General features: G+C 48.4%; 1 long non-coding RNA gene across 2 annotated transcripts in view; it reads left to right on the top strand.

Annotated features, from left to right (window-relative positions):
- Positions 1–12,632, top strand: part of LINC01234 (long intergenic non-protein coding RNA 1234) — a 29,107-nt gene extending 16,475 nt beyond the window's left edge. For both annotated transcript variants that reach the window (NR_110025.1, NR_110026.1), the window contains one exon: positions 10,614–12,632. This is a non-coding gene — a long non-coding RNA (long intergenic non-protein coding RNA 1234). The remainder of the gene's footprint in view (positions 1–10,613) is intronic.
- The last annotated feature ends 209 nt before the right edge of the window (positions 12,633–12,841 follow it).

Genomic DNA, 12,841 nt, shown 5'->3' with positions numbered 1-12,841 from the left:
AGTCTGAGAACTTGTCTATAATTTTGCAATTTCTATTTTCTTTGCTACAAAGCAGAGAGAAAGCCAAAAGAAAATAAAGTTCCTCTCAAAAATGCCAGGCTGTCTGTGCCGGATAAAATGGCATGTGAAGAGTGAAAGAGCCTTTTGTTGAGGCTTAGGGAGAAAGAAAAAGGGGCTGAGAGTAAGGGAAATGTATCGGAAGCCCCCCTGCCCGACCTGGGGAAGAGGCAAAACAGAGATGGGAGGGAGAAGAGGGTTCCTCCTGCATGAGCTGAGCCCAGGGAAGGTTTGAGTGTCTGATCGTCAGGGATCATACAGACCCGGATGTGACTCTCTCCTGCCACTTTCTAGTGGTGTGGCCTTGGGTATGTTTTAGAAACTCTCTGAGCCTCGGTTTTCCCATCTGTAAAATGGGGCTGGAAATAGTACTTCCTCAAATGACTTAGGTGAAGATTAAATGAAATAACATATACAAAGCCATTAGCCTAATGTGCTTGGCATGTGATAAGGGTTCAAGAATTAATAGTAACTGTTATTATGATTGCTGTTTTTACTCTGATTCCTTATACCTGTCAATAGTCAGGGTCATCTGTCTCAAGGAAAACGGGTTCCCAGCTTGCTTTTAATCAGAAGGCAGGAAGTGCAGTGGGCACAGAGACCTAGTATGCTGTGTTCGCCTCCCGTTACTGCTGTCACAAATTACCACGAACCTGGTGGCTTACAATAGCAAACATTTATTCTCTTACAGTTTTGAGGGTCAGAAGTCCTGAGACTGGGCATAGTGGTGCATGCCTGTGGTCCCAGTTACTTGGGAGGCTGAGGCAGGAGGATCGCTTGAATCCAGGAGTTTGAGGCTAGCCTCGGCAATATAGCCAAGGGTCAGATCCACACCAAAAGACTCACCCAGCCAACTCACAGAGTCACAAACAAAATCAATCATTGTTCTGAGTTTTGATAGGGTTTTTTTTTTAAGACCCTATCTCTAAAAAAAAAAAAAAAGTCCCCAAATCAAGGCATCGGTAGGGCTACATTCCTCCTGGAGGCTCTAGGAGCCTGTTTCTCTGCCTTTTCCAGCTTGTAGAGGCCACCGGCATTCCTTGGCCTGTAGCTCCTTCTTCCTTCTTCAAGGTCAGCTGTGTAGCATCTTCCAGTCTCTCTCTCTCTGCGTCCATTATCACATCTCCTTCTCTGACTCTGCCTCCCTCTTATAAAGATCCCTGTGGCAACATTGGACTCACCCAGATAATCCAGGATCATTTCCCCAGCTCAAGATCTTTAACTGAATCGCGCCCACAAAATCCCTTTTGCCATGGAAGGTCACATAGTCAAAGGTTCTGGAGATTAGGATGTGGACATTTGGGGTGGGGCATTATTTAGTGTGGCACCTGTGCTAAGCCTAGACAACAGGAAGGCACACAAGCTGAGTTGGCTTTGGGTCAGTTGGTGTTTATGACACAGCAGCCCACCCCCAAATTTAGGACTCAGAATAACAATTGATTTTGTCTGTGACTCTGTGAGTTGGCTGGGTGACACTTTTGGTGTGGGCTGGCTCTGCTGGTCTTGGCCAGTCTTGCTCATGTGTCTGCAGGCAGCTGGTAGGTTGAACATTGGTTGAATGATCTAGGCCTCACTCCCGTGTCTGGCGGCTGGCTGGCTGTCCACAGGGATAGGGGTCTCTCATCATCCAACAGGCTGGCGCAGGCTTCCTTGCTTGTAGGCATCAGGTTCCAAGAGCCGAAGCTACAAGGCCACTTAAGGCTGAGGCTTGAAATGGGCACAACATTACTTCCCCTGCATTCTAGGAGACAAAGCAAGACACAGAGCCAGGTCAGGTTCAAGGACTGGGGAAACAGACTCTACCTCCTGATAGGAGGAGCTCCTAGATATCATGGCCATTTCTGACAGGGCCAGTTTCGGGCACTGTGCTAAGTGCTTTCATTACGCTATCTCATTCCATCCTCACAGTAACCCTTTGAGATGATAAGCACTATTTAAAGGTCCCCAACTTACAGATGGAAACGCTAAAGCTCACAGAGGTGCAGCCACTTGCCTAAGGTCGAACAGCTAGTGAGTGGCAGAGTGGGGACTTAGCCCTTATGTCATGAGCCACAATAGACCCTTCTTGCAAAAGACATGCATTTTGAGATGGCTGACCAGCACTAGAGAGGCTGACTAGAGGGGAAATGTGGGTCTCACTTGATACCGTTGCCCAAGCACTGAACTCACCAGCTCTGCTGCTAACCCCAATGTGGCTTCCCAGGCCCCATCTCCTGGGAGGCTGAGTGGATTCCCAGCAGGGCATCTTTTTTGAGGAGCTGGGAGCCCTTCCCTCACCCATCCAGGAATCTGGAAATGGGCCTATCACTTATTGCTCCTTTTCCACCTATGCAGGAAAGGGAGGAGGGACAGCTGGCTGGGGTGGAGGTGCCCAAATCTGTCACTTTCCCCATGAGTCTGACCTTTTTGTCCCATCGCTTCTACACCTACGTGGGTCCAAGCCCCCATTGCTTCTACCTGGATGACACCAGAGCCTCCTCCCTGGTCTCTCTGCTTCCATCCTGGCCTTACTGCCCCCCACATCCATTTCCCACTTGGTGGCCAGGGTGAGCCTCTGACAACCTAAGTCAGATCCTATCACTCCTTCCACGGCTCCTATCTCATGCAGGCTGAAACCAAGCACCTACCAGATCCTGCCTGTGATCTCTCTGATCTCCCCTGATCCCTACCACCCCGGCCTGGGTGCCCCAGGTACCCGCCCACTCAGGGACTCCAACCTGCTGTTCCTGGCCTGGAACATTCCACCTCTATGGCTCACTCCTTTAGTTCATGCCAACGGCTTCTCAAATGTCCGTTTGCCCCAGCCAGGCATGGTGGCTCACACCTTTAATTCCAGCACTTTGGGAGGCTGAGATGGAAAGATTACCTTGAGGCCGGGAATTCAAGACCATCCTGGGCAACATAGCAAGACCCCTGTCTCTACAAATGTCCCTTTGCAGGGAGGTGGGGTTTTTCCCTCCCCCTCCCCTCCCCTCCCCTCCCCTTCTCTCCCCTCCTCTCCCCTCCTCTCCTTTTTTTGCATGTAAAATAGTGACCCTTATCGTTCTTGTCTGGCCTTTTATTCTGTTTTGCTCTTCCTGCATAGCATGTCCTCCTATATATGATTTTGTGTGTCAATGTATTTATTTACCATCTGCCACCTCCAACAGACTGTCACCTCCACCAGGACAGGAATTCTTTTTCTACCTATTCTCTGCTGTGTTCCCAGTCCTAAGGCAGTGCCTGGTGTTGGCACATAGTAGTTGCTCAGTAAATACACTTTGTGCTGTTAAATGAATGAGCAAATGAGTGAATGAATGGCAGGAACCCCTGGACCCCTTGCTCTCTGGGGGCACTGGGCACAGGAGGAGCCTGATGGGAGCTGAGAGCTGAGAGGGCCCTCATGGCACAGGTAGTTCTTACCTGGAGTCCCCGTGGATTGAGGCACCAACAGGAGAGAGGGTGGCCAGCTCCGTGAAGTCATTGGGTGCCCTCACCGGTTCTCCTTACAGCATCCCCTCCCCCACTCCTTGGACATTCATTCTTCCATTGCTGCCCACTGCTCATTAAGCAGGATCTGCTCTGTCTCTTGAATCTTCTCTGAAACAGGCTTCTCCCAGCTTGTAGGAGAAATGCCTTGCAGGTGAAGATGGTGAGGAAGTTGGCCCTGAAATAGCCCAGCCCCTCGAAGAGACAAACAGGGAGGAGCATCATTCAGGTGCTTCACTGGGAAATGAACCAGGTAGGCCTCTCTCTGAGGGGCAGTGCTGACCACTCAGAGGCGGCAGTGCCTGTGGAGAAAAGGGAGAAGGAGTCCTGAATCTGGGCCCTGCAATCGCCTGTGCATTTGGCCTCAGGGGAGTCGCTTAAACTCTCTGTGCTTCGGTTTCCTCATCTGCAGAGTGGGCATCAAGCTATCTAACTCACAATGTACAATGTACACCGTGGCTTGCAGCTTCCAGTGCCTGCAGGGGCTGGGCAGGTGGGAAGACACTTGAAAGGCATTGAGGGATGGGCAACATGTGAGCCCCAGCCCCTGTATGGGGGTGGCCACTATTCGGTCTTTGTCATGCAGGAAGAGGGGCTCAGAAAGGCCAGCTGTGCTGATTTTGCTTAAACCAGATTTTGCTTAAAGGTGAAATTTTCTTATTTTTAAAAATGACGGCACATTCAGATTAAAAGCATTAAAAGGGACACACGAAATCTGTTAACAAGTTTGCAATCTGTGTTTCAGCCCAGATATAGAGGGGAAACTGAGGCAAAGAGAATAGGAGCTGGTCACCCAGAAAGATAGAGGGAGAAGTGTTTGTCAAGGGAGGGCAAGGGACAGACAACCCCCAATCCACTTTTGTTTTCGGGAACCAGAAGGCTGTGGCTGCCTTTAGAACTGGTTCATACTGAAACACAGAGACCTCCTTCTTTCCTCCTCTCTCCCATGGTGAGGGATGGTGTCTTAGTCCATGTGGGCTGCTGTAGCAAAAATACCATAGGCTGGTTGGCTTATAAACAAGAGAAATTTATTGCTCTTAGTTCTGGAGGCTGGAAAGTCCAAGATCAAGATGGCAGCAGATTAGGTGTCTGGTGAGGACTTGTTTCCTTGTTCATAGATGGCACCTTCTAGCTGTGTCCTCACGTGGTGGGAGAGGTAAGGGATTTTTCAGGGGTCTCTTTTCTAAGGGCACTAATGCCATTCATGAGGGCTCCACCCTCATGACCTAACCACCCCCTAAAGGCCCCACCTCCTAATACCATCACATTAAGGGCAAGGAATTTTGGGGGGACACAAACATTAGACCACAGCAGATGGTATGGATGGGATTGAGGGAGAGAAAGTGTCAGAGCCAACATAGAAGTTTCCATTCTCTTTTTTGTCCCCCTACTTGGTGACTAAACAACATTTCTCCAGTCTGGTTGGGGTGGGAATCGGGTGGATGGGGTAGGTAGGAGTGAGGTCTTCCAGCCTGGCTTGACGTCCTTTTTCCAGGATAATGTTCATCTTAAAATAACCTACTTCAATGAACATTCGGCCAAAAGACAAAAGGAAGGTATTGCTAGGTAATGTGCAGCCACTCTGTCACAGTCTTTTTTTTTTAAATGAACACAAATTCCTTGACTGTCTTCTTGCTGAGAGGTGAGGTCTCTGTCCCCCTCCTCTCCCTACTTGAATCTGGATGAGCTTGTGACTCACTTATAACCAAGAATATGGAAGAAGTGATGCTGTGTGATCTCCTCATGCCTGGAGCCTGTGAGCCTCTCTCTGAGAAGTCCAGTGCCCCTGAGCCCACCATGCTGAAGAAGCCACCTGGAGAAGCCCCTGTTGACAGAGAGCCAGCATCACCTGCCAGTCACCAGAAGGGAGCCATCTCAGACATCCAGCCCAGCTGAGCCTTCAACTGACTGCTGCCCCAACCAACATGTGAACTGCAACCGCATGAGAGACCCTCAAGTGAGAACCGCCCAGCTGAGCCTTTCCCAAGTTCCTGGCCCACAAAACCCAGAACAAATTAAAATGAGTGTTTTAAGCCATTAAGGAGCAGGGTAATTTGTTACACAGCAACAGTAACCAGGACACATTCCCAAACCTAACTAGGAGGAAATTTCCTCTTGATAAAAATGCTGATTTTTTTATTCATCCTAGACCTTCATAAGTCAGAATCATCTGTGGATAAGGTATAAGAATCTGCATTTTTTTTAAGACAAGCTCTCCCACCCCAGGTGATTCAGATGCACAGCCAGGTTTGGAAATTTAAGACCTTGGAAGAGAGTCACATTGCCTCTCTCTGAGTCTCAGCTTCCTTGTCTGTGAATTGGGGAGGAGTGAGAGTTGGTGTGAGTATCAAAGAAGACGCTGCAGGTAAAGTCTTTAGGGCCAGCCAGGCGTAGTGGCTCATGCCTGTAATCCCAGCACTTTGGGAGGCCAAGGCGGGTGGATCATGAGGTCAGGAGTTCAGCCTGGCCAATATGATGAAACACTGTCTCTATTAAAAATACAAAAAAATTAGCCAGGCATGGTGCCAGGTGCCTGTAGTCCCAGCTACTCAGGAGGCTGAGACAGGAGAATCGCTTGAGCCCAGGAAGCGGAGGTTGCAGTGAGCCGAGATCACACCACTGCACTCCAGCCTGGGCGACAGAGCAAGACTCTGAGAAAAAAAAAAAAAAGTCTTTAATAAGGCCAAGGCATATGGAAAGGACTCAGGATTGGAACTGAATAATTAACCGTGGATATCAGTATCATTGATACCAATACTGTTGTTTTATTGTAACTACTTCACTATCATGGGTTGAATAGCGGCATCAAAAATATATGTCCAGTTCCTAACCCCTGATGCCTGTGAATGTGACCTTATTTGGAAATAGAGTCTTTGCAGATGTAGTTAAAGATCTCAAGATAAGCTCGTCCTAGATTTAGGGTGGGTCTTACATCCAATGACAAATGTCCTTATAAGATACAGAAAAGGAGAAGAAGACCACATGCATACCCACAAGAAGATGGAGGCAGAGACTGGAGTGAAGAAGCCACAAGCCAAGGAATGGCTGGAGCCACCAGGAGCTGAAAGAGGCAACGAAGGATCCTCCCCTGGAGACTTCAGAGGGAGCATGGCCCTGCTGACACCTTGATTTTGGATTTCTGGCCCCCAGAACCATGAGAGAATAAATTTCTGTTGTGTTAAGCCACATAGTTTGTAGCAATTTATTACAGCTGCCCTTGGAATCTAATGCACCACTGTTCAGCAGGCACCACACCCAGCACTGGAAACACCAAGGTGAGGAAGGGGCCCAGTGTTTCCCTAGACACAATGTCCTCAAAAGCAAGCTCTATCCTGTGACCATTCACAGAAGGGACATGGAGTCACAGTAATGAACATAGGTGTCTATGGCTTCCACCAAACCTAGAGAAGCCTTCCTCAAGTGGTCATTTCTTCCATCACTCTCCAATGAGAACCAGGAACTCGAATGCTCAATTCTAACTCAACGGTGGATCACAGGCTCTTTGCCTTCTGATGCTGACCTGAGTGTAGCCATAGAGCTTTGAGAAAGGAGACCAGAATGCTATGAATTCATCCACTCACCAAATGTTTCCAGAGGGCCCCTTCTGTAAAAGGAACCATGCCAGGCACAAGGTCCCTGCCCACACCAAGCCCAGAGCCTGGAGGAGGCTGCGGACCAGTGCACGGACAGACAGTGTGGGAAGGCAACTGTTGGAGGCAGGGTGGTGCAGTGGTTAGGATTCTGGGCTCTGGAGCCTGCCTGAGCTGGGATTCCAGCTTTGTCACTCCCTGACTGTGTGGCCTTGGGCAAGCCACTTAACCCTTTTATGTCTCTGTTCCCTCATCTCTAAATAGGGGACAACAATCACACCACCTTCAGAGGGTGGTGCTTGTGAGGACTAAATGAGAAAAACCAGGCAAGTACTGAGCACAGTTCCTGGCACAGAGTAAGTGATGAATAAAGGCATCAGGTGATGAAGAAGGCTGGGGGTGGGTAGGAGAGATTGTTCTGGCAGGGGGAATAGCAAGTGCAAAGGCCTGGAGGGAACACAAGGATGGCAGGTTTAGGCACCAGATGGCTCTGGCAAGCCAGAGCCCAGAGGACAGAAGGTCCTAACCTAGTCTGGGTCACAGCCCAAACTGGGGAAGCCAAAATCAGGAAAATGCACCTAGTACTCACCAAATACCATCCCTGATTTCAGGAAGGTCGTGGACCAGGATTTACTAACCACAGCTCTATTGACATTTTGGGCCAGATAATTATTTGGGGTGGGGACTCTCCTATCCATTGTAGGATGTTAGCACCATCGTTGACCTCCACCCACTAAAGGCCACTAGCACCTCCTGCCCCAGTTGTTATGACCAGACTGTCTCCAGACATTGCCAGATGTCTCCTGGGGACACAATTACCCTTGATTAAGAACCAAGGCCCTAAACCATCTCTCTCAGATCCTGAAGCCTGGGCCACCTGCCTCTTTCCATCTCTCCTGAAATGTGGCTACCAGATATGGGATGGATGCTCATCTTGACTGTGCTGGCCTGGAGAAGCCTGAGCAAAGGAAAGAGCACTGGAAAAGGAGTCATTTAGGAGCTTAAGGCACTCAGAGAACTTACTAAAATACCAAATCTCAGGTCCCTCCAGGGGACATTCTAGGGTTTTATGATTTGGGATTTTATGATTTATGGATTTGAGCAGTGCAGCAGCATGGAGATGCACTGCCTTCCCTTCAAGAAAAGCCTCCTTGCCCCGCTGCGGGGGTGTGTTCTGTAGATAACTTCCAGCTCATCCGTGTTTGCTTCCTTCAAGGTCATGCTTTTTCTGGGCTGCCCCTGGCCAGTGGCTGAGCGAGGCCCTGGGAGATTGAGGGCATGATCTCCTTAGGGCGGCACCTGGCCAGTGAGCATGGCAGTGGCACCAGGGCCATGGTCATTTCTGCCCAACTGAGGACTCCTCTAACCACCTTTGATCTGCAGCTCCCCACTGGGCTGGCAGAAATGTGTCATATCTGCACATCTGTGGTCTGACCCGACCCCATGCCCCATCCTGCTTCCTCCCTTTGTTTTTTCCAGGTGTTAGAGCCCAGCAAACCCTCTGCACTTCCAACTAGCATAGATGCTCAGGGTAGAGCCTAGAAATCTGAGTTTCAAAATTGTTCCCCAAGTAAGGCCATTGCTGAGTGAGGTCTGGGAGCCTCCAGGCTACACAGTCCCCCAGTTCTCTGCCAGCGCTGACATTCTAGGGTTTTGTGATTTGGGAGAAACTTGATTTGGCCTGGGGGTGTGTTTGCATGGGTGCAATAAACCATGCTGTCACGGGTTTTATGGTTTCCTTCTCTGGGCACTGCTAGCAGTGGGTTTGAAAGGCTTCCCACCTGAAGAGGGAGAAGAAACCTGGGCTTGTGTTGTTCTAATTCGAGTTCCCACCTAGAGGAAGGGGTATTTCTAGGTCCTGTAACTTTCTCATTAGAGTCAGGAGCCATCATTGTCCCCATTTTACAGATGAGGGGAAAAGTATAACCTAAAGAAAGGAATAAGGACTTCAGAGTCTGCAGATAGTTTGTGGTGGACTTTAAGATAATCACTTACTTTCCCTGAGCCTCAGTTTCCTCATCTGCAAAATGAGTCAGTCAGTCATTCATGAACTTTATTGAGTCCTTACTGTGTTGAGCACAGTTATCAGGAATGGGGATTCAGCTGTGAATAAGACAAGTAAGATGGGACACACGTCATGGAGTTTGCATTCTAGAAGGGAGATGGGCAATAGACAGATGAACAAATAGTTTCAGATAGGGTGAGTGCTGTGAAGACGGAGAAATGGGGTGATGAGGCAATGATGGGAACTGGGGTGAGGGTAGGCAGTAATTGGATGACAAGAGACAGCGACAATTAAAATGAGACCTCAAGGATGAGAAGAAATTAGCCACTGGAGGAGCTGGGGGAATGGTGTGCCAGGCAGTGGGAACAGCAAATGCAGAAACCTAAAGTGGGGAGGGAATGAGCTTGGTGTGGGAAAGGAACCTCCCAGAGGTGCAGGGGGTGAGGGGATGAGGGTGGAGAGGTTCCCCCTTCCATGAGGACTTCAGCTGTTACTGTCCCTGAGAGGGGCAGCTCCTGGAGTTTGCAGCTGAGGAAAGCCATGGTGAAGCTCACTTAGAAAATGACTAAGGCTTACTTAGGAGATAATTCACTTAGGCTCACTTAGGAGAGGACTAAGGCTCACTTAGGAGCCTCCATTTTTAGGATAAAGGACTTGCCAAGGACACAAAGCCTACCACCCCAGCTTCTTCTCCCAGTCATTCCCCTCTAGCACAGGAGAAGGCAAACCAGGCTGGGAAGTGCAGAGGCAGACCCCAATACGCAGGTGTTCCTCCAAGCAGGCCAAGCTGGGACAGAAGGGGCAACAAATCAGCCCCACAGAGCAAAGCACATGGAGCACTTTGACGACCTGGACTGCTTCTGCCCAGCTCTGGGCCATGTGACCCCGTGGTCACATGACCAGCTCTAACTACCCCTCCCCGTGGAGGGAGATCTGGGCTAATTGCCAGGGAGACTGGGGTTATAAATTGTGTGGGGTTGGACAGAGGGAAAGTAGAGGCTGGCATGTAGCTTTAAATGGTTTTCTCCAACTCCGAGGTTTCCCTTTTGTTCCTTAAGCATTTGTAACACACAAGCTTTGCTATCCCCAGGGAACTGCGCCTGAACTCACTGGTGAATTGGAATTTTTGTCTTTCATTATTTTATTTACTTATTTTCCAGTTTTATTGAGGTATAATTGAAAAGTTAAAATGGCATATATTCAAGATGTCCAATGTGATTATTCGACATATGAATACACTGCAAAATGATTACCACAATAAAATTAATTTTTTTAGTGGCCACTCTGGGCAAGGGAGGTACAGTTCCTGGTTTTGAGGCTGTTGTTTTGTTTTGTTTTTGTTCATGGGAAGCTGCACCCTCCATGCTTGGACACCTGCATTTCTTGGGAAGCTTTTGAACGCTATGACTTCTGGTCTCACCACTACCCCTCCATTTCAGGCTCTCATGGGTTCAGTCCTGGATGCTGTAACAAATTCTTCCCTCTCTTCCCAGGTGCTAGCCAGGATCACTCCCTCCGAAGTCACACCAGAGGGAGGGCTGGAGGGAGAATCAAATGAAAGAGAGAGGGAGAGAAAGGAAGGAAGAGAAGGAGGGAGAATGGAAGGATGTATGGATTTGGATGTATGGGTTCCATTCCTTCTACCCTGGCAAAAGCTTACTCATCCTTCAGTGTCCATCCAAAATGGCATCTCTTCTTGGGCACCATCTCCAGAGTCTCCTGCAAGCAGGTAGCTACATCCCACAAAACAACCACCCATCTGACCATGCAAGTGTGTGGGGGAATGAAGACCAGCCCAGGAATCTGAGATGAATGTTTTGCTTCTTGCTCTGCCACTGACTCACAGGGTACCCCAAGCAAGTCCCTTCACCTCCTCGGTCTCAGTTTCTCCATTTATACTACTAAGGCAGTGGACATGATGGCCTCAAGTCTCAACATTTTTATTCCCTGAAAAGAAACTCTTGGTGCTGAGTGGTCTTCTTCTGCCCTGACATCTCACCTTTCAAACGCTTGTCTCTTCTCACCCCACCCACCACTTAGCATGTGCTCTTGGAGAACACCCAGGACTCAGGGTCTCTGCACACATCATGAGTCCAGCTCAGCATTTGAGGTGGAATCAGAGGAAAGGAAGGAGAGTGGGGAGAATAGTCAGTATTTTGGCAAGCTCATCATACCTTCCCCCTTTGTATAGAAACTTCAAACCATTTCCCTTTGAAGGCACTACCTCCTTCCCCCAGTTATAAATGAGTGAAGGTCTCAAGCCTGGACAACCAAATGCACAGTGATTGGTTCAACTCTGGACCTGTGACTCAAGCCAGACCAAGGGAGTGACATGCAGGGCTTTGCCTGGAACTATTCTGAAAGGGGCACTCTCTTTCTGCTGGGCTACTGATAATATGTGCATCCGTGATAGAAGAGCCTGCCTGATAATAAAGCCAATAAGGGAAGAGCAGAGCCAAGAGATGGTGGGAGAGCAGATGCCTGAAAATATCATTTGAGCCCCTGGGTCCAGCTGCACCTGAAGCCACCACGATCTCCTGGACTTTGCAGTTACTTGAGTTCATAAATACCCTTTGGCATTAAGCCAGATTGAGTCTTAATGCATATAGAAATAAGAGAAATGAGAAAAGAAATTGAAAAGAGAGACAGCAGAGAACTGATTCTCTACTAGAGCCTCCAGAAGGAATCAACTCTGCCAACACCTTGATTTTGGACTTGTGGCCTTCAGAACAGTGAAATGATAAACATCTGTTATTTTAAGGTACCTAGTGTGTAACATTCCGTCATGACAGCCCTAGGAAATGAATACAGCGAGGAAAATCCTACCAGCACAAAGGCATGGAGGTGCCAGGATGTCTCCTCTGCGTGAAGAGTAGATGTAGATGAGGCTGGAATTATCTATCCTAGCTGCCCAGACCCATGTGCCTTTGTTTTATGTAGTTACAGCACCTATGATACATATTTGTTACCATGTATGTCACTATGAACCTCCTCTGGAGGACGGAGAAGTCAAATACCTTAATTATTCCAACACAAGCTTGCGTGAACAGATAATCATCACTACGAGTATATTGTGTGCCTGCTAAGCACCACACCTGAGATAAGCATTTGCTGTGGTTTGAATGTCCCCTCCAAAGCTCATGCTAAAATTTAATTGCCATTGCAACAGTGTTGCAAGGTGAGAACTTTAAGAGATGATCAGGTCATGAGAACTCTGCCCTCGTGAATGGATTAATACCCTTATCGCAGTAGTGGACCCCCCTTTTCTCTTGCTGTCTGTCTCTCATGTTAGCTTGTGCTTCCTCCTTTCACCATGGGATAACACAGCAAGAAGCCCCTCACCAGATGCTGGCACCTTGCTATTGGACTTCCGGCCTCCAGAACTGAGAAATACATGTCTTTTCCTTATAAATTACCCAGTCTGTGGTATTCTGTTATAGCGGCAGAAAATGGACTAAGACGGCATTTTGCATACATTATCTGTCTTATTAAAAATAATGTTTTTGCCCAGGAACATAGATTCAAGTTGCCCTGAATATACATTATCTCCCTACATTATCTCTTTTAATCCTCACCTATTAGGTAGATAAACTGCTATTATCCCCATTTTGCAGGTGAAACCTCAAGCTCCCAAAGAACTGCAGCATCGAGGAAAGTAAAACCAATAGCTAGCATGTTCAGTAGTCCCCTTTACCCATGGTACAATACAGTACGCTAAGAT

Source organism: Homo sapiens, chromosome 12 (genome assembly GCF_000001405.40).
Source record: "Homo sapiens chromosome 12, GRCh38.p14 Primary Assembly".
NCBI classification, from domain to species: Eukaryota; Metazoa; Chordata; class Mammalia; order Primates; family Hominidae; genus Homo; species Homo sapiens.
Note: the sequence above shows the minus strand (reverse complement) of the source record. Positions and strands in the feature narration are given on the sequence as shown.